Source organism: Homo sapiens, chromosome 3, assembly GCF_000001405.40.
Source record: "Homo sapiens chromosome 3, GRCh38.p14 Primary Assembly".
NCBI classification, from domain to species: Eukaryota; Metazoa; Chordata; class Mammalia; order Primates; family Hominidae; genus Homo; species Homo sapiens.
Genome location: NC_000003.12, coordinates 183504272 through 183530676, shown reverse-complemented (window position 1 = coordinate 183530676; position 26405 = coordinate 183504272). Strand labels below are relative to the sequence as shown.

At 44.6% G+C, this 26405-nt stretch overlaps 1 protein-coding gene across 3 annotated transcripts in view, besides 4 other annotated features; it reads left to right on the top strand.

Annotated features, from left to right (window-relative positions):
• KLHL6 (kelch like family member 6) overlaps nucleotides 1-26405 on the top strand; it is a 68156-nt gene that overhangs the window by 25030 nt on the left and 16721 nt on the right. For 2 of the 3 annotated variants that reach the window (XM_011513274.4, NM_130446.4), the window contains exons 2-3: nucleotides 2667-2832; nucleotides 22169-22618. In XM_011513274.4, the coding sequence (XP_011511576.1) occupies nucleotides 2667-2832; nucleotides 22169-22618 (616 nt within the window). Of the gene's footprint in view, nucleotides 1-2666; nucleotides 2873-22168; nucleotides 22619-26405 lie in introns of those variants that run through there. The other variant, XM_011513273.4, reaches the window with a different exon arrangement.
• Nucleotides 11561-12061: an enhancer, noted in NCBI's record as "NANOG-H3K27ac hESC enhancer chr3:183236404-183236904 (GRCh37/hg19 assembly coordinates)". NCBI's record gives its function as "activates a minimal SCP1, AML or CMV promoter by ChIP-STARR-seq in naive H9 embryonic stem cells {active_cell/tissue: H9 hESC(naive)}" and the evidence as "EXISTENCE:reporter gene assay evidence [ECO:0000049][PMID:30033119]".
• Nucleotides 14068-14347: an enhancer, noted in NCBI's record as "active region_20891". NCBI's record gives its function as "activates an Ori minimal core promoter by ATAC-STARR-seq in GM12878 lymphoblastoid cells {active_cell/tissue: GM12878}" and the evidence as "EXISTENCE:reporter gene assay evidence [ECO:0000049][PMID:35858748]".
• Nucleotides 17255-17304: an enhancer, noted in NCBI's record as "active region_20890". NCBI's record gives its function as "activates an Ori minimal core promoter by ATAC-STARR-seq in GM12878 lymphoblastoid cells {active_cell/tissue: GM12878}" and the evidence as "EXISTENCE:reporter gene assay evidence [ECO:0000049][PMID:35858748]".
• Nucleotides 21650-22849: an enhancer, noted in NCBI's record as "CDK7 strongly-dependent group 2 enhancer chr3:183225616-183226815 (GRCh37/hg19 assembly coordinates)". NCBI's record gives its function as "activates an origin of replication core promoter dependent on BRD2, BRD4, P300/CBP, MED14 and CDK7 cofactors, with strong dependence on CDK7, by STARR-seq in HCT116 cells {active_cell/tissue: HCT116}" and the evidence as "EXISTENCE:reporter gene assay evidence [ECO:0000049][PMID:35650434]".

Here is a 26405-nt window from a genome sequence, read left to right as displayed (position 1 = left end):
GTCCAGCCACATTTTTGGCGTTCTCTTCAGAACATGCTCCCTCATTTTTCTCAGAATGGGTAGGCTGAGAATTTTCCAACTCTTTAATTTTTGGTTCCCTTTTGCCTAAACATTCTTTTTCTAATTCACCCCTCTCCCCTTGCATTTTACTACATGCAGTAGGAGGAACAAAGCTGCTTCTTCCATGCTTTGCTCAGACGTATCCGCAGCTAAATATCCAATTTCATTGTTTGCAAGTTCCACCTCTTGCAAAACAGCAGAACACAGTTTAGTCCTTTCTTTGCCACTTTATAACAAGGATCACTTTCCCTCCAGTTTCCAATACGTGTTCCTCATTTCCATTGGAGACTTCACCAGAATGATCTTTAATGCCCATATTTCTGCCAACATCCTATTTGTGGCAATCTAGACTTTTTCTAGCTTTTACCTCAAAACTCCTCTAACCTCCACTCATGACTCAGTTCCAAAGCTGTTTTCACATTTTTTCAGTATTTGTGACAGCAGCGCCCCACTTCTCAGTACCAAAATGTGCCTTATTCAGCTTGGGTTGCCATAACAAAACACCATCGACTGGATGGATTAACCAACATACATGTATTTTCTCACAGTTCTGGATCCTGAAAGTCCGAGATTGGAGTGCTAGCATGGGTGGGTTCTGGTGAAGTCCCCTTCCTGGCTTGCAGATGGCCACCTTCTCGCTGAGTCCTCACACGGGGCAGCACGTGCAAGAGAATTCTGGTCTCTGTTCCTCTTCTTATAAGAACATCAATCCTATCCGATTAGGACCTCAGCCCTATGACCTCATTTTTCTTAATTACCTCCTAAAACCCCTATTTCCAAATAGAGTCACACTGCGGGGTTAGAGTTTCCTTTCTTTCTTTCTTTTTTTTTTGAGATGGGGTCTTGCCCTGTTGCCCAAACTGGAGTGCAGTGGCACAATCTCAGCTCACTGCAACCTCTGCCTCCTGGGTTCAAGAGATTAGACATGACTGGCTAGTTTTTGTATTGTTGTAGAGATGGAGTTTCACCATGTTGGCCAGACTGGTCTTGACCTCAAGTGATGCACCCGCCTTGGCCTTCCAAAGTGCTGGGATTACAAGCATAAGCCCCCACCCCCGGTCCCCCACCTACTTTTAATTCATGCATTCTTGCTATATTTTAGGTACCATATAAGTTTCCAAAATTCCAGAAATGTTTTCAGAGCATGGTTCAGTTACATGCATTTTAAAAATAAATAAAATTGCTCACACATTCCCTGGGAAGGACCAACAGTTTAAATGTCAAAGTCCAAGAAGCATGATAAATTCTTATGGGCTTGGCATGGGGCCTGGCATGGGGTAAAAAAAAAAAAATCTCTATATCTCTCTTTTTTAAACTTTTATTTTAAGTTCAGGGGTATTTAGGTTTGTTATATAGGTAAACTTATGTCATGGGGAGTTGTTGTACAGATTATTTAATCACCCAAGTGTTAAGCCTAGTACTCATTAGTTATTTTTCCTGATCCTCTCCCTCTTCCCACCCTCTACCCTCCGGTAGGCCTCAGTGTGTGTTGTTCCCCTCTATGTGTCCATGTGTTCTCATCATTTAGCTTCCACTTATAAGTAAGAACATGAGATATTTGGTTTTCTGTTCTTGTGTTAGTTTGCTAAGGATAATGGCCCCCAGCTCCTTCCATGTCCCTGCAAAGGATACGATCTCGTTCTTTTTTATGGCTGCGTAGTATTCCATGGTGTTTATGTACCACATTTTCTTTATCCAGTCTATCACTGGTGGGCATTTGGGTTGATTCTATGTCTTTGCTATTGCGAATAGTGCTGCAATGAACATACACGTGCATGTGTATGGTAGAATGATTTATAGTCCTTTGGGTCCTAATCCTTACAATAAACTTAAAAAATAGCTATTAAAATCCCCATTTCAGATGAGAAAACTGAAGGTCATGGAGATTAAATGACCTGTCCAACTCCTGGGTTGGTGGAGCTGGTGTTCAAATCCTGGTCCATCCAATGCTACGATAAAACCTACATCCTTTCTATCCTCTTCCCCTGCAGCCAAGATGGCGGCTAAATATCTGGAAGTCCAGCCGTGGGGAGGGAGCAGGAAAGGCAGAATCCAGAGGCGAGACAGAGTCCTGAAATGAGGGAATTCAAGGCTCCAGCTGCATCTGGGAACCTACGGACATTGGGTTCAGCTGCTGGGGTGAGAGGCAGCTACAGGAGCCACTTGCACTTCTGGCAGGTATCTGGGCCTCAGCTGGCCAGGCCAGAATGTGGGGCCAGGCTCCAGGCCAAACGAGAGCTAGTGTGAGAGTCAGAAGCCCTGTTTGGGTGCTGGGTGGAAGAGAAAAGATGAAGCTTGGGGATTCCACAATGCCCTCAGATGAATCTCCTGCACTTTGAGCCAATAAAAGCCAATAAAATAGATCTGGGACTGACTTTGGAGATCACAATCGGGCATGGAGGAGCAGGGCAGTTCAGTTCAGCTCGGTAAGTACTGATGAAATGTCTAATGCGTAGGGGGTGCTGGAGAACAGAGAGCCACCAGCCCAGGACCTGACCTTGGGAAACCCCCTGTTCTGTGAGGGCCTGATGAGTCTGAAAGGGGATCTCTTTAGGCCTGGAACCAAGGGTCTCGGCACGATTCACATTCACACATTTCTCTTCCAGGGCCATGTTCTGCAACGATTTAAAGGAAAAGTATGAGAAAAGGATCATTATTAAAGGGGTTGATGCTGAGACCATGCACACTCTGTTGGACTACACGTACACCAGCAAGGCGCTGATCACCAAGCAGAATGTCCAGCGGGTCCTGGAGGCTGCTAACCTCTTCCAGGTGTGTGAACAAACTGGCTCAGTGCTCTTCTCTGAAGCAGGTGAATGCAGTAATTCTCCAGAGGCCAGACCTGGTCTAGCTCCCAGGCCTGTACCTGGGACATGGACACACACACACACACGCACACAAACACACACACACACACGCACACCCCTAGCTGGGCTTGTGCTTACTTGAAAGTTAGAAGATGCTCTTTTGGAAAATTTCTCAGAGGGAGTGAGATAGGGCATTGACTCCTTAATAAGATGAAGCCAGGGGAGCTTTGTGCCTAGAACCTAGGCATGGGTCCTGACTCCAAGAACAATAAGTACAACTTGCAGAAGCTTAATTGGAGCCAGTGGCTCTTCTGTGGTTTGGGGTTACTGATGTCTCCTGGTTTCATCGAGGGTGGTGTTTATGTTTCTGTTTTCTGTTCTCCTTTCAGTTTTGGGTGGCTTTTCAAAAGAGCTATAAAAACTTTTTAAATAGTAAAGACTATAATCTTTTGTAATGTATGTTTCAGATATTTTCCTGCTAGTCACTTGACTCATCATTTTAAAATATAGCTTTTTTAATGTACAAAAGTTTAAAACTAGTACTTAGTCATAGCTATTGATCATTTCCTGGAAGACTTTTGTCTTTGGTGTGCATTTTTAGCCTTTCCCTTGCTTGATCATATCCTTATTCAATTTCATTTAGTCTTGTTATGTTTACAACTTTAATATCCTTTTTTTTGGTTTGTTTGTTTTTGTTTTTGTTTTTTTTTTTAGAGAGAGTCTCGCTGTGACGCCCAGGCTGGAATGCAATGGCACCATCTTGGCCCCCTGCAACCTCTGCCTCCCGGGTTTAAGCGATTCTCCTGCCCTAGCCTCCCAAGTAGCTGGGACTACAGGTGCATGCCATCAAGCCCAGATGATTTTTGTATTTTTAGTAGAGATGGGGTTTTACCATATTGGCCAGGTTGTTCTTGAACTCCTGACCTCAAGTGATCCATCTGCCTCAGCCTCCCAAAGTGCTGGGATTACAGGCATGAGCCATCGTGCCCAGCCAACTTTAATATACTTAGAATCACTTGGCATAAATTATTTTTCTCCATTCCCCCCACCCCTTGCCTCATTTTTAATTTTCTCTCAAGTGATGAACTTCCATAGAGATGTTAGTTTTAATGAGAACAGTGGGAGAGGACAGACATGGTGCAGAGACAGAGTGAGCTTTATTTGTTGTTGATTTCCCTATTCCGGTAATCCCTTGCCTCAAAAAATCCTAAATATCTTTTACTTTCTAGGCAGAAATTAGCAAGTTTCTTTCTGAAGCGATTGTACTCAGTTTCCTTATAAGTGTCAATTCTTAAGAAAATAAGAGAAGATTGCTGTGGGCTTCCAAATATCTATTTAACCCACTGATTTCTGTTGACTCTGGGTTACTTGCTATGAAGTCTCAGACAGAGAAAACTGGGGTCATATTCAGGCTTCACGGCATCATAAGGGACAGAAGTTTATAGGTTGTTGAAATAACTTTGTGGTTTGTAAAAATTATTTATTTATTTATTTATTTGAGATGGAGTTTCACTCTTGTTGCCCAGGCTGGAGTACAATGGCACAATCTTGGTTCACCGCAACCTCTGCCTTCTGGGTTCAAGCAATTCTCCTGCCTCAGCCTCCCGAGTAGCTGGGATTACAGGCATGTGCCACCACGCCCGGCTAATTTTTTTTGTATTTTTAGTAGAGAGGGGGTTTCCCCATGTTGGCCAGGCTGGTCTCGAACTCCCGACCTCAGGTGATCCGCCCGCCTCGGCCTCCCAAAGTGCTGGGATTACAGGCATGAGCCACCGCACCCGGCAAAAAATTATTTATTCTTTTGAATGGATAAAACATACTCCCATTCCAAATTCAGAACCCCGGAAGGGAAGCAGTGACACTGCCTGTTTGCAGTGTCCTGCTGTTCTTCATATTCCATGCATATAGCAGTCTCTATATGCATATCACTCCCACTCAGGCTTCCATTTTTTCTAACACAACGTAGGCACACTATACATCCTGTTTCGCATCTTACTAGTTTTACTTCACATTCTATTTTGGGCATTGCCGCAGGTCTGCGTGTGGAAACTACCTTGTTCTTCTCAATGGCAGCATGATATTGTTGGGGTCACATTAGATGTGAAACATGTCCAGTTATTGCTAATGATCTCTTATAAGGCAGAGTGGCAGAGTAGAAAGAACACGGGCAAGCAGACCTAGGTTTAAACCCTGGGTCAGTCACTTATTTGCTATGTGGCTGTGGACCAGTTACTTAAATTTTCTGAGATTCAGATTTTTCATTTGTAAAATTAGGCTGATAAACACCCCACCTTCCAGGGAAAGCTATTATGAAGTTAGATGAGATGATGTTTTCAAAGTACAGCATATTTCCAGGAATGGACGTGTCTTCCCATCAGTTGTGTGGTTTTTACTTTACTTTGGATAGTTTGTGCCTTGGATAAATGGGGCTGACATTGAGCTATGAGAACATTTCCCTAAGGTATTCCTAAATTTTCCCCCCCGGGTTAGGATTGTAAGAGACCATGTTTAAAAGTGTGTGTGTGTGTGTGTGTGTGTGTTTTTTTTTTAGAGAGTCTCACTCTGTTGCCCAGGCTGGAGTGCAGTGGTGCAATCTCGGCTCACTGCAACCTCCGCCTCCCGGGTTCAAGTGATTCTCCTGCCTCAGACTCCCGAGTAGCTGGGATTACAGGTGTGCACCACCATGCCTGGCTAATTTTTGTATTTTTAGTAGAGACGGGGTTTCACCATGTTGGTCAGGCTGGTCTTGAACTCCTGACCTTGTGATCCACCTGCCTTGGCCTCCCAAAGTGCTGGGATTACAGGTGTGAACCACCATGCCCAGCCAAAAGTTTTTTTTATCATGTTCATACGATACATGATTAGAATGATGAAATGAATCAGTGCTTTATTTTAATTAACTCAGGGTTATAGGTAGAGAAAAGTGTGCCAGTGATGGCATTTTATCTGGTCCTTTTACAACATCTGCAGAAGTCAGTACCACCTCTGTGGGACTGAAATGAACAGGAATCAGATTATCTCAGTGCTCCCCGCCCCACCCAGTAATAAACGCTTCTTAATTTTCACCATTGGTGTGACTCAGCTGCCCTTAGTGTCTTCCTGTTACCCACCAATTGCTTCTCTCCCAGAATTTCCTGGTGCAGGAAGAGACAATCCGATGACCAAGCCAATCAGCTCTATCACTGTTTGGGAAGAGCTTTTCCTACCAGGCCAGGCAACGTCATGAGCTGCTGGCCAGTTTACAGCGTGGGTGCCTTGGGTTTACAGACCAATCAGCGATGCCATGAAACAGGACAGTTTCTTTTAGGAGGAAACTTTGGGTGTGGCAGGTACTGATTGATCTGCCCACTAGAAGAACTTTGCAATCATCTGGCCGTAATGCATTGGCCAATCATGAGGAGAAACACATTTTCCCCAACTAGTTTTTGGAAAGGTAAAAGTAAGAGAAGCATCTAAGAGGAAAGGCCTAAGGGACCTGTTCTCACATGCGGTGGGATCTTTGAAATGAATGCCACCCAGTAGGGGCTCTAGAGAAGCCAAAGGTCTCCCTTTCCTTAACTGGACCTTCAGGCTTCTGAGTCGTAGGTAAGCAAGCCAGCCCCAAACTATGGACCTGGGACAATGGCTGTAAGGACTTGGCAAAATTTTTCCATCTTGAAGGAGAATGATTTCTCAATCAGGGCACTGCCATGTTGTTTGAGAAGTTTGCCATGTTTGTTACTTTCATTTTTATTATTAAAAACTCATGAGGCCGGGCACAGTGGCTCACACCTGTAATCTCAGCACTTTGGGAGGCTGAGGCGGGTGCATCACCTGATGTCAGGAGTTCCAGACCAGCCTGGCCAACATGATGAAACCCCGTCTCTATTAAACATACAAAAAATTAGCCAGGTGTGGTGGTGGGCGCCTGTAATCCCAGCTACTCAGGAGGCTGAGGCAGGAGAATCTCTTGAACCCGGAAGGGGGAGGTTGCAGTGAGCTGAGATTGCGCCACTGCGCTCCAGCCTGGGCGACAGAGTGAAACTCCATTTAAAACAAAACAAAACAAAACACCTCATGAAATGTAGCCAAATACCACCTGTACCCCAAAAACTTATGGAAAAAAAACAAACAACAACTCATGGGAAAAAAAACCAACTCATGAAAGAGTAAGGGATTGGGAGCTTATCTGCAGGCAGCAAGAAGATGTGAGGTCAGGGAGACCATTCTCACCCTGCATTTGGTCTGGGATGTAAGGATCCCTACGGTACATAACAGTTGGTTAGAAGCAGCAACTTAGGAGAAGAAAACCAGGCTAAGTCCCGTGGCCAAAGTGAGGAAAAAGGGGGATGCTGGAGTGGGAGCTTGGTCATCTGGCCTGGGCCTGAGAAGAGCCCAGGAGGGGCTCCCACAGAACCCTCTGGGGCAGTGACATGGTGGCAGTTAGAGGAGACATTGGTGAAGGTCCAGTGTTGCTTATTTCCCTAGGATTGCCTTTGTTTACAATAGGATGAATGCGCATGAGGCTAATGCAGATGAGACAGCCACGTGGTCAGTGTCTGACTTGATGGCCTGGGTTGGCTCCTTGGCTTATGCAATGCCTGGGACATAGCGGGCATGCTATGAATATTGGTGGAATACATGAATATGTGAATAAATGCACTAATGAGTGTGTCACTCTTGTTCATTACTAGCTGGATGTAAGGACTTCTCAAAAACTGCTCAAGAAGCCAGGCGCGGTGGCTCACGCCTGTAATCCCAGCACTTTGGGAGGCTGAGGCAGGCGGATCACGGGGTCAGGAGATCGAGACCATGCTGGCCAACATGGTGAAACCCCGTCTCTACTAAAAATAGAAAAATTAGCTGGGCCTGGTGGCGTGCGCCTGTAGTCCCAGCTACTCAGAAGGGAATCGATTGAACCTAGGAGGCGGAAGTTACAGTGAGCCGAGATCGCACCACTGCACTCCAGCCTCGTGACAGAGTGAGACTCCATCTCAAAACAAAAACCAAACAAACAAACAAACAAACAAAAAACTGCCCAAGACTCCAACAGAAATTACTTGGTCTCCTTCCAGGCGACACTAAGAAGCCCAATCCTGGCTCTTGGAAATGGTGTGGGCCAAGAAAGGAGGAAATATTTCACAGGCTAATACTAATAATTGCTTCATTTTATAGGTGCCTGATGAAGTGCCAGGCACCTACTATGATATACTATGTACACACATGAATTTCTGTTGTCATGGACAGAGACTCACAGATTATATCTATTCAACACCATAGAAGCCAGTCAATCTAGGCAAGAAAACCAGCTGGATTATTTCCTTGCTATCATCTACATAAAATCAGCCTGTTGACTATTTGATGCACTCCCTCTCACACTTAAATTTGGTCAACCAGTGTTGCTGTGTGGCTACTGTAAGCATTAAGCAATCAGGGTTAGTCTACTGGGTCCACATGACAGCCACAGTGGCCCTTTTCAGAGCATTCACCAGAGTCTTTTTTTTTGAGACAGAGTCTTGCTCTGTTGCCCAGGCTGGAGTGCAGTGGCGCCATCTCGGCTCACCGCAACCTCTGCCTCCTGGGTTCAAGCGATTCTCCTGCCTCAGCCTCCTGAGTAGCTGGGATTACAGGAATGTGCCACCACACCCAGCTAATTTTTGCATTTTTATTAGAGACGGGGTTTCACCATGTTGGCCAGGCTGGTCTCGAACTCCTGACCTCAGGTGATCCACCTGGCTTGGCCTCCCAAAGTGCTGGGATTACAGGCCTGAGCCACCGTGCCCAGCCAGTAGCAGCTATTTTGCCTGAACTACATTGTTTAAAGTCATGTAAGTCTAGCCAGGCACGGTGGCTCACGCCTGTAATCCCAGCACTTTGGGAGGTGGAGGCGGGCGGATCACCTGAGGTCAGGAGTTCGAGACCAGCCTAACTAACATGGTGAAACCCCTGTCTCTACTAAAAATACAAAAATTAGCCAGGTGTAGTGGCGGGCGTCTGTACTTCCGGCTACTTGGGAGGCTGAGGTGGGAGAATCGCTTGAACCCGGGAGGCAGAGGTTGCAGTGAGCTGAGATCACACCATTGCACTCCAGCCTGGACGACAGAGTGAGACTCCATCTCAAAAAAAAAAAAAAAAAAATCAGGTAGGTCTTTTTACCCTCAATGTATAGATGAGGGGCATAAAATTCAGCAATGTTAAGGAAACGCTAAAGTCTCCACAGCTAGTAAGAGGGGAGCCTGGATTTGACTCCTGTGGTCCTGTGCGTAGCCTGTGTGTTCTCCAGTGCACATGCTCTGTCCATGCCTCAGAGTGACGCCTGAAACAAGCCATCACCCTGAAGGCAGCTAGGGCCTCCGGGGAGGGTGTCCTCAGGGAGGACTGCCCAGTGCAATGTTCTGAGAACCAGCAGTGCTCTGTGCGAGTGTGTCGGGGGCAAGACTGGCCCAGCACCCTCTGGGGAACCTTGGATGCCTGGGGCCACCTGTAGGGGAAAGAAAGAGATCAGACTGTTACTGTGTATATGTGGAATGAAGAAGACATAAGAAACTCCATTTTGTTCTGTACTACGAAAAATTCTTCTGCCTTGAGATGCTGTTAATCTGTAACCCCAGCCCCAATCCTGTGCCCGCAGAAACATGTGCTGTGTTGACTCAAGGTTTAATGGATTTAGGGCTGTGCAGGAGGTGCTTTGTTAAAAATGTGTTTGCAGGCAGTATGCTTGGTAAAAGTCATCGCCATTCTCCAGTCTCGAGAGTACCCAGGGACAGAATGCACTGCGGAAGGTCACAGGGACCTCTGCCCAAGAAAGCCTGGGTATTGTCCAAGGTTTCTCCCGACTGAGACAGCCTGAGATATGGCCTCGTGGGAAGGGAAAGACCTGACCGTCCCCCAGCCCGACACCCGCAAAGGGTCACACTCTGTGCTGAGGAGGATTAATGAAAGAGGAAGGCCTCTTTGCAGTTGAGATAAGAGGAAGGCATCTGTCTTCTGCTCGTCCCTGGAAATGGAATGTCTCGGTGTAAAACCCGATCGCACATTCTATTTACTGAGATAGGAGAAAACCGCCTTATGGCTGGAGGTGAGACATGCTGGTGGCAATATTGCTCTTTACTACACTGAGATGTTTGTGTAAACTCAAACATAAATCTGGCCTACATGACATCAAGGCACAGCACCTTTCCTTAAACTTATTTATGACACAGAGACCTTTGCTCACACGTTTTCCTGCTGACCCTCTCCCCACCATTACCCTATAGTCCTGCCACATCCCCCTCACCGAGATAGTAAAGATAGTGATCAATAAATACTAAGGAAACTCAGAGACCAGTGTCGGCGTGGGTCCTCCGTATGCTGAGCGCCGGTCCCCTGGGCCCACTGTTCTCTCTCTATACTTTGTCTCTGTGTCTTATTTCTTTTCTCAGTCTCTTGTCCCACCTGATGAGAAATACCCACAAGTGTGGAGGAGCTGGCCTCCTTCACCCGCAAGCATCCCCAGAATGAGTCTGCTGCTGGCCATTTAACAACTCTTTTGTCTTTATATTTCTCGGTGTTTGATCTCAATTGTTTATGCTTTTATTTTTAGGTATAACTTGCATTTAGTAAAATGTACACTTCTTAAAGTGCTTCCAGCTTGATGATTTTTCACATGTGTATTTCACCATGCAACCACCAGTCAGATCAACATTGACAACAGCCCTGGCATCCCAGAACTCTCCTTCACAGCCTCCCTAGCCAGTCCTTTCCCACGCTAATTACTGCTCTAGCATCTGTTGCCATGGGTTAGTTTTGCCTGCTTTTGAATTTCATATTGTTCTTTTTGAGTCCTAACTAGTACAGAGGGTCTGAATCTTAGGCTACAAACTCAAGTGTGCCAAAAAGAATGTGATTTAACCTATTATTTTTCTGTTTTCTTGTTTTTTTTTTTTTTTTTTTTTTGAGACAGGGTTTTGGTGTGTCACCTAGGCTGGAGTGCAGTGGCACAATCATAGCTCACTGCAGCCTTGAACTCCCAGGCTCAAGAGATTTTCCTACCTTGGCCTTTCAAGTAGCTGGGAATATAGCCATGCACCACTATGCCCGGCTTTTTATTATTATTATTATTATTATTTTAGAGACAAAGTCTCTCTCTGTTGCCCAGGCTGGTCTTGAACTCCTTGCCTCAAGCAATCCTCCTGCCTCAGCCTCCCAAAGTGCTGGAATTACAGGCATGAGCACTGTGGTCGTCCAAACCTGTTATTTTTCTATCATTGAACTTAATTTCTATCCTGAGCTCTCATTCTACCAGTGGCAGAAATCATAGGTAGTGACACAGGAAAGTTTAATCAATTCAGGATTCGGGTTGCTTATATAGTTCCAGGAAACATTTATACAGTGCCAGGGCATTGAAAAAAGAGGCATCTGTCCTGGGCTTACCATGGTCATTTGCATTATTGGTCCATGTGGCACCCACTGGAGCACCTGTGTTCCCATCAGTCTCTCTCTGATTTTTCATTCCTTTCTCACTGACATCAACAAGTCCCCAGTCCTACCTGATTCTGGTCATTGGTCCTTGCAGGTCACTTTGCATTCTCTCTGTCCTGTTTGCAAAGCCTCTTCAGGTCTGGCAATCCTCTCAGCTACATCTGTGCCCCTCTCAAGACAAAAGACACTTCCATTCCCTCTCCTTTACAAATCCAGAGCTACAGGGGACGTGGAGCAACTGCCACAGGGCCCCTTTGTCTGGAAACAATACACTCTCATCTCATCTGCTGCTGCCATACCGGACTGCTGCTTTTCTGCTTTCAGCTCGGCGATCAAGGCACATGTTCTTTTGTTCTCAGATTCACAACCTATAAGGGACGTTTAGCATCCCCCTCACTCTGGAGATTTGGCCTGGGATGGGAAGCAAGGCATCATCTCGGGAACCCACCCCTGCTTCTCACTCTGTTGTTAGACAATCTCTCTCTTGTCCCTCTTCCTTGCCTGGGAATCTTTATTGCCTCCAGGGTGGGAAAAGCTGACTCTTGCTTTGTCATCCGTTCTCTCACGTCTCCTGTTTTGGTATAAACTTTGTACCCAGACTCTTTAGGACTCTGGCTTTTGAGGCTGGAAGGGGTAGGTTCTTACCACTAACTGGTATTTCTTTCAAAACCACTTCTCTAGTTTAAGTTCTGAAAGTCTATTTAGAAACTCAAAAGCCAAGAATTATCTTCTTTTGCCTGCTCTATCACCCCTTCCCTGAGTAAGCCTGTGCTCGGTTGCTGCCTATAGGTTGTAAAATACAGGAAGTGGGGTGTGGGGTTTTTAATTGTAATGAAAATCCATATCGCTACCAGATTCTGACTTTAACTGCTCCCTAACTACCACAAATTACTAAGCATGTTCTAAGTGCAAGGTGTTTTGTGAGAAGCTGTCAGGAGAATATAAAGATTAAAAATGTGGAGTACAGATCACATTTTTGTAGCAATTTTGTCCCCTACATATCCCATTTGATGTTGACCATGTCTCTGTGGGCGAGCAGGCTAGGTAGAACCATCAGTGTGAGCCTGCGAGGTGAGTTTTATGTTCTTAGCACTTTCCAGATGAGAAAACTAGCTGAGAGAGAGAGAGTGTTCAGCTCATCAAGTGGTGGAGCTATGGGTGGAATTTTCAAGTAAACCCAGAACTTCCAACTCCATATATCCACTTCCCTCCACTATCCCTGAAAGATTCTCAATGAGCCTCCAGGCCATTGGGCAAACCAAGTAGAGCCCAGGGCAGAAAGGAGGGGACATTGAATTGGACCTCATAGGATGGTGGCAGTAGGATTGGGAGAAAAGTATTCCAGGCAGAGAGAACCTGGAAGTGGACTTGTTTCAGCCTTCTCTACCCACCACCCCACCTATTGCAGCTGCCTGTGTTCACGGGGCTGCTTCTCAGCACTTGTCTTCTGCTTCCATTCCTGCTCCTGTGCCCTACGCACACACACACAAACCACACCCTGAGCATCAATCATGTCCGAGATGCAATCATTCTACTTAATCTTTACAACAGTGTTTCTCCCTGGTCCTTACCTCATTGCTGGGCTGAATCACTGAGCCCCAGCCATGCCACTTGCCCCTTGAATATGTGGGTCACATGTATTGCCTGTTGTGCCCTGCTAGCCTGCTGGGGCCACCACCGTCTTCTCTGGAAACTCAGGGGCTGTTTGCTGATTGAACACAATTGTAAGCTTGCCACACTGCTGGTCTTTTCCCCAGTCCACTTCCACAGTTGCCTCAGTCCCTCAACACCTGCCCTGCCTTAGTGAGCAGGTCTTTTGCAGGTCTTAGTTCCTTCCTTTTCTGCCCACTCCATGAGGCTTCCAGGAACCAGCAGGTTTCTCAGCCAAGTCTAGAGCAAGGACTGAAAGGAGTGGCTAGAGGGAGCAGAGAATGCCCCTCCTGGGGGACTGTGAGACATACTGCCACGGGAACGGAGCTGGAGCATCGCCCGGGAGAGGGGAAGAGAGGTGAGGATGGAAGATTAGAATCAATGGTAATTCACAAATTTTTAGCATGAAGACCCCTTTTAAACACCAACACAGACCTCACAGGAGAGGAACTTTACTTTTAGTGTCTATTGCTGGAGAAGAAAAGTTTTGACAAAAAATTTACAATTGTCTGGGCACAGTGGCTCACACCTATAATCCCAGCACTTTGGGAAGCCAAGGCAGGCAGATCACTTGAAGCCAGGAGTTCGAGACCAGCCTGGCCAACATGGCAAAACCCTGTGTCTACTAAAAATATTATATAAAAATTAGCTGGGTGTGGTGGTGCGAGCCTGTAATCCCAGCTACTCGGGAGGCTGAGGCACAAGAATCACTTGAACCCGGGAGGTGAAGGTTGCATTGAGTTGAGATCACACCATGCACTCCAGCCTGGGTGACAGCATGAGACTCTGTCTCAAAAAACAACAACAAAAATTACAATGAATTCAGAAATACTTTGAAATAAATTTAAATGTTATTAATCTCATCACACCTTCACACATGCTGATTTGTCGGAGCTGAAGGTAAGAATATCAATGTCTTTATAGACCCTTTGCAATAACGCCAAAGCCACTTGGACACCATGATCAACAGAATTGCTGATGTGGACTAAAATAGGACTTCAGTGATTCTGAAGTGGATTTGAAGGCACCTTGAGGGAGACATGGAGTCACATGGGTGAAGTCCCCTAGGACCTCAGATTTTGGAGAACGTCATGGGGAAGCAGAGGAGGGGCAGTGGAGATGAGGAACAGGCAGTGCTTTCTCTTGGAGGCAGACACTTCTTGTGGGAACTGCAGCCACGTCTCAAGTGGTTTCTTTGATTGTATTTTTAGTCTCCTCATTTGAGAGTCAGGTGGCTGGCTGCAACCTTTTGCTCACATGTCCCCCCAAACAGGAAGCTGGCTGTCTTTTGCCATTATCTGTCATCTCTCAGCTCTGACAAACAAGTTCATGTGTCATCGGGACAGGCCGAGACAGAAAATTTACCTTGAAGTCTTGAATAATCTTGAATGTGAAGAAGCAAAAGCATATTTAAAAGAAACCCATTTCTGGTTCCCATGATTGCCCTGCGCATCATCAGTTTCCCAGCCATTGGTTGGGATCATGTGATGTTGCCCTACACCCCTCACACTAAAAGTGTTTATTGAAGTATATTTTGGAGGAACTTAGGCAACTTGGAGATCCCCCACCTGCCTCTGTCCTCATAAAGCCTCTTCAGACTCTCCTGGCATTTTGTTAGCTCAACAATGCAACAAGTTACAAAGGCACCACGATGCTGACTGGAGCATCAACTGTACTGCCTCCTAGCAGTGTGAACTTGCATCGCTCTTTGAATTCTCTATTTGCTCCTTTATACAAATGCTAATTCTAACACCTTCCCTTTTTTACCTGTTAAATAAAATACACTTGTTAAAAAATAAAATTTATTTGTTAAGTGAAATAATGACTGGGAATGTGTCTAGCACAGATCTTGGTGCATACTAAGTGATAAATATGTCCTTCCTCTGTCCCTCTTTCTCTTCTTTTTCCAGACTTTCTGCTAGATGCTGCTAGAAATAAATACCCAAGTATGACCTAGAAGCTGCTTTGAGATGCTTGTCTCAACTGACCTTAGTACTCTGGGTGCTCCACAAAAGGGGAAAGCAAGGTGCCCAGTGGAGCACAGAGGAGGGAGGGATTCCATGTTGGGGAATAGGAGAAGCCGTCAAGGAAGAAGTAGCTTTTAAGAATGAACTTCATGAATAGGTAGGATTTCTCTACAATTCTTCTTTTCCTTTTTATTTTTAGTTTTTTAGAGACAGAGTCTTGCTCCGTCACCCAGGCTAGAGTACAGTGGTGTGATCATGGCTCACTGCAAACTTGAACTCCCAGGCTCAAGCAATCCTCCCTCCTCAGCTTCCCAAGTAGCTGGGACTATAGGCATGCAACACCACAACAGGCTAATTTTTACATTTTTTGTAAAGACGAGGTCTCACTATGTTGCTCAGGCTGGTCTTGAAATCCTGGGCTCAATTGATTCTCCTACCTTGGCCTCCCAAAGTGCTGGGATTATAAGCTTAAGCCATTGTGCCCAGCCCTTAAACAATTATTGACCCAGAATTTTAAATGTCCAGAGGTGGGGTTCCAAGCACCGTCTAGTCAAGACTCTGGCTCTCTTCCTCTCTGGATCTTTTGACTTAGCTCTCTCTCTTGTGTTGGTTTTGTACTTAGGTGGAAGGATACCAGGGAGTAACTCACCTGTCCCCTGCCAACTAAGTTCCCAGAAAAATGCCACATGTGCAAATGTTCACATACTATTGTAGGGGTTCACAGACTTTCTGGATCGATCCATTGATCCCAGATGTAATAACTCTGAATCAAGAAAATAGCCCTGGCCGGGCATGGTGGCTCATGCCTGTAATCCCAGCACTTTGGGAGGCCGAGGTGGGCAGATCACTTGAGGTTAGGAGTTCGAGACCAGAATGGCCAACATGGTGAAACCCCATCTGTACTAAAATACAAAAAAATTAGCCAGGTGTGGTGGCGTGCCCCTGTAGTCCCAGCTGCTTGGGAGGCTGAGGCAGGAGAATCACTTGAACCTGGGAGGCAGAAGATGCAATGAGCCGAGATCGTGCCACTGTACTCCAGCCTGGGCAACAAGAGAGAGACTCCATCTCAAAAAAAAAAAATTAAATTAAATTTAAAAAAAGAAAGAAAACAGCCCTGTGTGGATAGAGTCATGGCTATAATATTTATGTCTTCCTTCTTCTTGAGGTAAACTTACAGGGGGATTTCTCTGTTGAAAATGGGGTGAGCTATCCTGAGTCTTTCCTTAAAAAGTTGGGCTCTGGAGTTGGGCTTGTCTGGGTGAGGCGCGTAGGATCATAACAGATGGTGATGATGAGGAAAGGCAGCTCAGGCCGAGAGATGGCAGGAGCGTGGAAAGGCACTGCAACAGGGCAGCTCCAGGACTGCTTGGAGGAGGTGAGGAGATGGGTGCAATTGTGGCTAGAGTTCTGAAAGGGAGGTTCCTGGTGATGACTGACAGCCAGATTGTGGAAGATTGAAGGGGTGGGGGTAGGACTGTCCTTGGTTTCAGGCAATGGAGTCCCTGGACTCTGGTCCATAGCATTTATCTCAAGTGTCCTTCCACACTCCGTGTTGTATTATTTGGTTAGCGTCTGCTGCCTCCACTGGTCTGTCGGCTTCAATGAGCGCAGGCGCTTTGTCTCTGCTCACCTCTGTACACCCAGCACTAGTTGGGAGCCTCCTACATAATATTAATAGATGCTCGCAGCCATAAAAAAGGATGAGTTCATGTCCTTTGCAGGGACATGGATGAAGCTGGAAGCCATCATTCTCAGCAAACTAACACAGGAACAGAAAACCAAACAACGCATGTTCTCACTCATAAGTGGGAGTTGAACAATGAGAACACATGGACACGGGGAGGGGAACATCACACACTGGGGCCTGTCGGGTGGTGGAGGGGAAGGGGAGAAAGAGTATTAGGACAAATACCTAATGCATGCAGGGCTTAAAACCTAGATGACGGGTTGATAGGTGCAGCAAACCATGGCACACGTATACCTATGTAACAAACCTGCACATTCTGCACGAGTGTCCCAGAATTTAAAGTAAAATAAAAAAAAAGAAATACATGCTCAATTCACATTCGGTCCATACACAGGTAGCTGGATGGATGAATTGCCAGGTGGAGTGAAGATCAATGCTTCTTCTAACAAATGTGAGCTTCAGTACTTGATTTGATTCTCCTCTGTGGTTTCCTTCTTTGCTCATCAACAGCCACCAAGCAGGAATAGGAACCGGCATCTTGTTGGCTAGTCCTTCCTGTGTCAGGGCAGATCAGGTCATCTGAGCTACCCAGTGACGTGTGCAAATGACGTTTGGCATCTGCCAAGCCTTTGTCCCCCACACACATTTTGTGACCTGCAGCAGCTTGAAATAGTATAAAAAACATGCATTTTTGGAATCAGAGATGACTGGTCCAAACTTTGCTTCTATCTTTTATTAACTGTAAGTCTCTGAGGAAATTACTTCTCTGAATCTGGTTTCCTCAGGGATGATAATAGATACCCTTTTCATGGCATTGTGGTGAGGATTGAGTAACTCTTACAGTTAGTATGTAGAGTCTGGCCTATAGTAAGTGCTCTTTTAGTGTTTACCTTTTATTTTCTCATTGCGTCCTTTAAAAATCACAATAATGTGTTTATTTTACGTATTTTTTCCTGAGTTTATAATGTTCATGCTCAGTATAGTAAAGTTGTCATACAACAAACTCTAAAAAAATTAATAACTTTATCTATAACCACTGCTAACATTTTGTATGTTACCTTCTAGTATTTTCTCTATAAATGAGAAAGTTGGTCTATTTTAGGTAGGTATTTCTTACACACAATTGGAGAGGATAGGAAGTGGTGAAGAGGGTAAAGTAATTCTCCCTTTCTTCCCTGAAATTGGATGGGAATTACAGTGTGAGCCACTGTGCCTGGCCTCTATGACTTTATTTTATATATATATTTATTTATTTATTTATAAAAATAGGATCATAGTCCCGGCCTGGTGGCTCATGCCTGTAATGCCAACACTTTGGGAGGCCAAGGTGGGTGGATCACCTGAGGTCAGGAGTTCGAGACCAGCCTGATCAACATAGAGAAACCTCATCTCTATTAAAAATACAAAATTAGCTGGGTGTGGTGGCACATGTTTGTAATCCCAGCTACTTGGGAGGCTGAGTCAGGAGAACCTCTTGAACCCGGGAGGCGGAGGCTGTGGTGAGCCAAGATCATGCCATTGCACTCCAGCCTGGGCAACAAAAGCAAAACTCTGTCTCAAAAAAAAAAAATATCATAATGTACATAATATGATTTGTGAAGTGCTTTTCTCATTTTATCTGCAAATATTTCAGTTATGTCTAAAAGATAAGGATTCTTCTTAAACATAAACATGAAACTATTATTGCACCTCAAATGAATAATAATTGTTTCATTATCACCAATAGAAACAACTACTGTTATCAGGTCTTATGTGGCCTCCCAGAGTAGTCTAAGTTCCTAGAAATATCTACTTAATTTTCCTCTCCTCTTCCCCTCACGCAAACGCTGGCATGGTGATCGTGGTATTTTGCACTGGGGGCTACCATTTAAGTGAGTTTCCTTTCAGCTCTCATAGATGTCTCTGTGAACAGGGCCAGATAGGGTTCTGGTGTCCAGTTCTGAGGGCTCACGAGGCTTGGTCTTTGTTGCATATTTTTAGTCTTTGAACTGAAAATCTGCCAACGACTAAACAGGTGTTAGCAGCCTTGTTCACAACTGTTTCCACGGTTGCTCATGCAAAGAGCAGAGCTGCCGGCAGTTGAGACCAGCAGACATGGGGTTCTGAGGCAGAATTCAGGCCTTCTGCAACTTTGCATTGTGTAGGGAAAAGAGAGATCAGACTGTTACTGTGTCTATGTAGAAAGGGAAGACATAAGAAACTCCATTTTGACCTGTACCCTGAAAAATTGCTCTGCCCTGAGATGCTGTTAATCTGTAACTGCCCCAACCTCTTTGCCCCAACCTTAAGCTCACAAAAACATGTGTTGTATGGAATCAAGGTTTAAGGGATCTAGGGCTGTGCAGGATGTGCCTTGTTAACAAAATGTTTACAGGCAGTATGCTCGGTAAAAGTCATTGCCATTCTCCAGTCTCAATAAACCAGGGGCACAATGCACTGCAGAAAGCCGCAGGGACCTCTGCCCTGGAAAGCCGGGTATTGTCCAAGGTCTTTCCCCATGTGATAGTCTGAAATATGGCCTCGTGGGATGGGAAAGACCTGACCATCCCCCAGCCCGACACCCGTGAAGGGTCTGTGCTGAGGAGGATTAGTAAAAGAGGAAAGTCCCTTGCAGTTGAGATAGAGGAAGGCCACTGTCTCCTGCCTGCCCCTGGGAACTGAATGTCTCAGTATAAAACCCGATTGTACATTTGTTCAGTTCTGAGATAGGAGAAAAACCGCCCTGTGGCGGGAGGCGAGACATGTTGGCAGCAATGCTGCTTTATTATTCTTTATTCCACTGAGATGTTTGGGTGGAGAGAAGCAAAAATCTGGCCTACGTGCACGTCCAGGCATAGTACCTCCCCTTGAACTTATTTGTGACACAGATTCCTTTGCTCACATGTTTTCTTGCTGACCTTCTCCCCACTATCACCCTGCTCTCCTACTGCATTCCTCTTATTGAGATAGTGAAAATAGTAATCAATAAATACTGAGGGAACTCAGAGACTGGTGCCGGTGAGGGTCCTCCGTATGCTGAGCGCTGGTCCCCTGGGCCCACTGTTCTTTCTCTGTACTTTGCCTCTGTGTCTTATTTCTTTTCTCAGTCTCTCGTCCCACCTGACGAGAAATACCCACAGGTGTAGAGGGGCTGGCCCCCTTCAGCATTGACCCTCGGAGAAATGCTTTATTTATTTATTTATTTATTTATTTTGAGATGGAGTTTTGCTCTTGTTGCCCGGGCTAGAGTGCAATGACACGATATCAGCTAACCGCAACCTCCGCCTCCCAGGTTCAAGCATTCTCCTGCTGCAGCCTCCTGAGTAGCTGGGATTACAGGCATGTGCCACCACGCCTGACTAATTTTGTATTTTTAGTAGAGACGGGGTATCTCCATGTTGGTCAGGCTGGTCTCCAACTCCTGATCTCAGGTGATCTGCATGCCTCGGCCTCCCAAAGTGCTGGGATTACAGGCGTGAGCCACCGCGCCCGGCCTAAAAAATGCTTTTTAAACTGACAATCCTATGTGATCTGACACAGAAAGATAATATTTTGCAATAGAGGTTGATCCAAAAAGTCAGGGATGTGTTCCCTGGAATGCTCTGGAGTAAAGTCCAGAGCCTAGGTCACCTTGGTCCACTCTTAGAACCAGTCCTGCCCCACTATCAACCTTCAGGCTCGATAGCCCCACTCCCCACAGCTCCTGCCAACCCTCCCCAGTCAGGTCTGTCCTGTCCCTACTCTCACCAGGACCTGCCTTCAGAAGGCCTCCCCCACCCCCACCAGGTCTTGCCCCCTCAGCCTCCCCTTTCCTCTCCCCCCATTAATCGATCAACCCATGGGCACCAAGAACTTGACCCTATAAGGAGTCCAGTAGACGGGGAAGGGAGCTAGGAGGTTGAAATTGTTCAAAGCTAAGCTCCAGAGAACAACAAATAAGAATGAACCAATGCATTTGAGACATGTCATCTGTAAAATGGATATTACAAAATATAATGGATATAACAGTGCTTTGTCATCTGTAAAGTGCCCTACAAGCACAAGGGACTTGAATTTTTATGAGGATGGTGATAACTTAAAAGTGGGACCTGAGAGCCAATCAATAATTTTACAAATTGATTTTTTAATGACAAAAGCGGTACGTATTCATTTTAAAGGATATATAAATAAATAAAACATATAAATAAACAAAAACAGAAAAATTCTCATAGTCTTCTTAGAGTGTCATACCTTCTATTATTTATATAGTATATTCCCTGTCCATCCCATGAGACCTGTTTCTGTGGGAGAACTATGGTTCCCTTGATGACAAATTTTGCCATGTGACTTACTCTGGACGGTTTTGTGTAAATGGATATAGCATGCGCCCCCTCTGAGCAGAAGCTTTAAAAGCCTCTGTGTGGTTCTGCCATCTTTTTCCCCTTCTGTCATGGGACCAGCATGTCTCAGGTAAGGGCTTTCCATCTTCCTGGCCCCTGGAATGAAGAGCCCCGTGAAGAACACATAGTGGGTAAGAGGAACATTTATTGTAAGCCCCTGAGACGTGAGGGTTGTTTGCTGCTGCAGCAGAATTTGCCTTAAGATACCTGATAACCCAAAGAGATAACAACCATTAATATTTTGACCTACATCCTTTCATCTTCTTTCTATGACTTTATTCTGTGTATGTTTTCTTTATAAAAATAAGGTCACAATGTACATATGATTTGTGACGTGCTTTTCTCATTTTATCTGCAAATATTTCACTTATAGCTCTAAAAAATAAGGATTCTTCTTCAACATAAACATGAAACCATTATGGCACCTAAAATGAATCATAATTGTTTCATTAGCACCAAATATTAGTCATTGTAAACATTTCTCCAACTTTAAAAAATATATATTGTTTAAATCAGGAATCCAAATAAGATCCATACTTTGCAATTGGTCAATGTGTCTTAAATCTCTGTTTATCTTTAGGTTCTCCCTCTCCTTCTCTCTCTCTTTTATCCCCTTGTAATGTATTTGTTGAAGAAACTGAACAAGTTGTTCAGTAGAGTTTTCCACAATCTGGATTTTGCTGATCATGTTCCCATGACGTCTTTAGCAGGTTCCTCTTTCCCTGTATTTCCTGTAAATTGCTGAGTAAATGTAGAGGCTTAATCAGATCCAATGAACAGATTTTAAAACTCAATACATTATGAACATTTTCTATTTCATTTAATATTTTCTACAACATGTGTTTTAAGTATCTACAGAGCTATCGACTGTATGAATGAATTATATGTATTTAGCTAGTCCCGTAAGTGTCTCATTGTTTTAAGTCGACTGTATGAATGAATTATATGTATTTAGCTCCTCCCGTAAGTATCTCATTGTTTTGTCGACTGTATGAATGAATTATATGTATTTAGCTCGTCCAGTAAGTATCTCATTGTTTTAAGTCTACTGTATGAATGAATTATATGTATTTAGCTCATCCTGTACTGTTGGACATTTAGGTTGTTTCCAATTTTTGGCTAATACACATAACTCACTGATAAACCTCCTTGTGGACTCACCATTTTCTGGCCTCCTTTCCACCCTTTCTATTTCATCAGTTCCTGCGGATGGTGGATGCCTGTGCCAGCTTCCTCACTGAAGCCTTGAACCCAGAAAACTGCGTTGGAATACTGAGGCTGGCTGACACACACTCGCTGGACAGTCTAAAGAAGCAGGTTCAGAGTTACATCATTCAAAACTTTGTGCAGATTCTGAACTCTGAGGAGTTTCTTGACCTGCCCGTGGACACTCTGCACCACATCTTGAAGAGTGATGACCTTTACGTGACCGAGGAGGCTCAGGTGTTTGAGACCGTGATGAGCTGGGTCCGGCACAAGCCATCAGAACGACTCTGCTTACTCCCCTATGTCCTCGAGAACGTGCGCTTACCGCTTCTGGACCCGTGGTACTTTGTGGAGACGGTGGAAGCAGATCCTCTCATCAGGCAGTGCCCAGAGGTCTTCCCGCTGCTCCAGGAAGCCAGGATGTACCACCTTTCTGGCAATGAGGTGAGTAGAAGATAAGAGGTGCTATATTTAACCAGCGAAGTAAGGAGTTAGCTAGGGGCTCACAGAGATGCAAGCAAAGCGGATTCAAAAATCCTTAGGGCATTAAGGAGAAAACACTGCCCTGTTCATTGCTGAGTCGGTCAGTTCCAGAAGCCCTGATTCCTGATCTATGAGGCCGATCCCACGTGTTCAGACAGTTACTGAGCGCGTTAGGTGAGATGTAGAAATCACCCAGCACCATGCCTGGCCCGTGCTTCCTCTTCCCAGTTGTGGAAGGGTGGGAGGTTGGGGGTCACACTGCACGCACAAACAAGAATGTGCCCTGGGCCGGGCCTGGTGGCTCACACCTGTAATCCCAGCAGTTTGGGAGGCCCAGGGCGGGTGGATCACGAGGTCAAGAGATCCAGACCATCCTGGCCAACATGGTGAAACCCTGTCTCTACTTAAAAATACAAAAAAATTAGGTGGGCATGGTGGCATGCACCTGTAGTCTCAGCTACTCGGGAGGCTGAGGCAGGAAGATCACTTGAACCCGGGAGGCAGAGGTTGTAGTGAGCCGAGATCACGCCACTGCACTCCAGCCTGGGCAACAGAGGGAGACTCTGTCTCAAAAAGCAAAGCAAAACAAAACAAACAAAAAACAAAAAAAACAAGAACGTGCCCTGTCTAGTCACTATTCCATGGGGGTGCTGCTCTTCCTTGCCCACTCTGGTGAAATCTTGTGTCTCTTGTATATACTCTGACATCACTTTGATTTAGACTCTCACCATCTGAATTTCTGGAAATTTCTCAAAACTCATCTTCCTCCCCCAAGTCTGGCCTCCCTCCAATTTATTCACCAGCTGAAAGATCTGAAACTCAAGTCTGATCATCTTGCTCCTGGGCTTGCCTTCTTCATTGGCTCCCCATCACTTTCAGAATAAAGCCCATACTTCCTGCCTACGTTCCCAGAGCCTGGTCTTGCATCATTAATCTCCTGCCTGCTTCTCTAGTGTCCTCTCCAACCTCCCACTTCTGCTCTAGTCCTAATGCACAGCTTGTGGTTCCCCAAAGTGGATGTGCTTTTTCTGCCTCCAGGTCAATCTGAATGTTGTTCAAATGCTTTTCTCTTCTTCATCTAGCTGACTTCTACTCCTACTTCAAAACTCAGTCCAAGCATCACTTTCTCCAGAGACTTCTCCTTTTATTTATTTATTTATTTATTTATTTATTTATTTATTTATTTATTTTTGAGAGGAGGTCTTGCTCTGTTGCCCAGGCTGGAGTACAGTGGTGCAATCATAGCTCACTGCAGCCTCGACCTCCCAGGCTTAAGTGATCCTCCCACCTCAGCCATCCAAGTAGCTGGGAGTACAGGCATGTGCTACCACACCCGGCTAATTTTTAAATATTTTGTAGAGACAAGGTCTCACTATGTTGCCCAGGCTGGTCTTGAACTCCTGAGCTTAAGTGATCTTCTCATCTCAGCCTCCCAAAGTGCTAGGGTTACAGGTGTGAGCCACCACACCCAGCCACTCTCCGTGTTCTCATAGCACTTGGTGCATTGCTCCATCACAGCACCAACTGCTGCATGGCAATGATTTGAATTTATTATATGTAAATATCTCTAGACTGGGAGCTTGTTATAGTAGGAAATATGTCTTATTGCACTTTACATCTCTAGATCTTAGAAGAGAGTCCTGAGACTGCTATATAGTGAATGAGTAATTAGTAAATGCTTGTTGAATGATTAAATGGGTACTACGAACGGTGAATAAACATGTCATTTGGATCTACCTGGTTCTCCTTAACAATTCCTGAAGAAGATTTTTCTTCAGAACTTTATAAAGACAAGAACAAATTTAGTGGAGAGGAAGTAATGATATAGGGACAGTTTGTTAACAGTTTGTACACATGAACACCCATACATATATCTCACTATGCAGTGGTTCTGGGATTAGCTACCAGGCTTTCTTCATTAGGCCATTGGTAGAAGCCTTAGCCAAACGTGGCCCAGGAATTGTCTGTCTGAGGTTCTTTTAGAGTTTCTCCCTTTTTCTGTGTGTTCTTTTCTAGTTTTTTTGTTGTCCTTAGATCCACTGTTCATTCATTCACTCTGCAAACATACCCTTAAATGTTTAGTAGAATTTACCAGAGCCTGGTGTTTTCTTTGTGGAAAGTTTTTAAACTATAATGTATATCTCTTTAATAGATATAGGACTATTTAGGATCTCTGTTTCTTCTAGAATGAATTTTGATAGTTTGTGTCTCAAAGAATTTTTTCATTTAATATAAGTTGCTGAATTTATTGGCATAAAGTTGTTCACAGCATTCCTTTATTATCTTGTTAATACCTGCAGAATCTATAGTGTTGTCACATCTCTCATTCCAGATATTGGTAATTTGTGTCTGCCCTTTTTTTTTTTCCTGATCAATCTGGTTAGAGGCTTATCAATTTTATTGATTTTTCTCAAATAACTAATGTCTAGTTTCATTTGATTTTCTCTATTGTTTTTCTGTTTTCTATTTCACCTATTTCCACTCTGATCATTATTTTCTTTCTTTCTGCTTAGTTTGGGTTTAATTTGCACTTATTTCTGTAGTTTCTTAAGGTGGAAGTGGAGGCCACTGATTTGAGACTTTCTTTCTAATATTGGCTTTCATGCTATAAATTTCCCCCTAAAAACTACTTAAACAGCATCCCATGTATTTAAGCACGCTATGCCTTCATTTTTTGCAAATAAATCCTGAACACCAATTCCTTGCCAGATATGGCACCAGGTACTGCAAAAACAGTCTGTGTCTTACCCAGGTACTGCTAAACAGTCTGTGTGTCAGAGAAGATGGGACATTTAACAAATGAAGGGTGATGAGTGGATTGATGGGGGGAGCCTAGGAAACCACATAGGTCCTATTCTATGCTGGATGTCTAGCAGACAGCCTGCATATAATTGCAGACAGGTTTCAGTCTCCGTAACTGCCCTCAGTTCAGCATTTATTCAGTGTCTCCCATGGAATACTACACAGCCATAGAAAAGAATGCAATCATGTTTTTTGCAGCAACATGGATGGAGCTGGAGGCCATTATCCTAAGTGAACTGACACAGGAACAGAAAACCAAATAATGCATGTTTTCACTTATAAGTGAGAGCTAAACATTGAGTACACATGAACACAAAGAAGGGAACAAAAGATACCAGGGCCTACTTGAGGGTAGAGGATGAGAAGAAGGTGAGGACTGAAAAACTACCTATCAGGTACTATGCTTATGTATGATTTCATCATACGGATGATGAAATAATCTGTACACCAAACCCCCACAACACACAATTTACCTATATAACAAATCTGCACATGCTGAACCTAAAAGTTAAAATAAATAGCACTTTAAAACAATTTAAACATATACTGTGCCTTGATCAACTATACTTCCAATATTTTTGCTATTTTTGTTTCTGCTTCCTATTTTCTAAGTCCTTGAAATGCAGATGATAAAGATTTTCTCTGATATAAAAGGTCCCTACCCTGTCTTCTGCAAAATTGCTGCAATGAAATATTTTTATTGCCTTTTGTATTTCCGAGGTGCTGGGGGCAGAGTCAGACATTATAAGCTTTAGATTTAGGAGGAGAGAGAATTCTGACATCTGGAAAATTCTTCAGTGGTGAGAACCTGGGCTTGGAGTCAGGCAGAGATCTGGGTGTTAATCTTGACTCCACAATTTATTTACAGTGTAATCTCAGGCAGTTACTTAGCTATGCTAAGGCTCAGTTCTGATCTGTAACATGGGGGTAATAATACCTACCAACT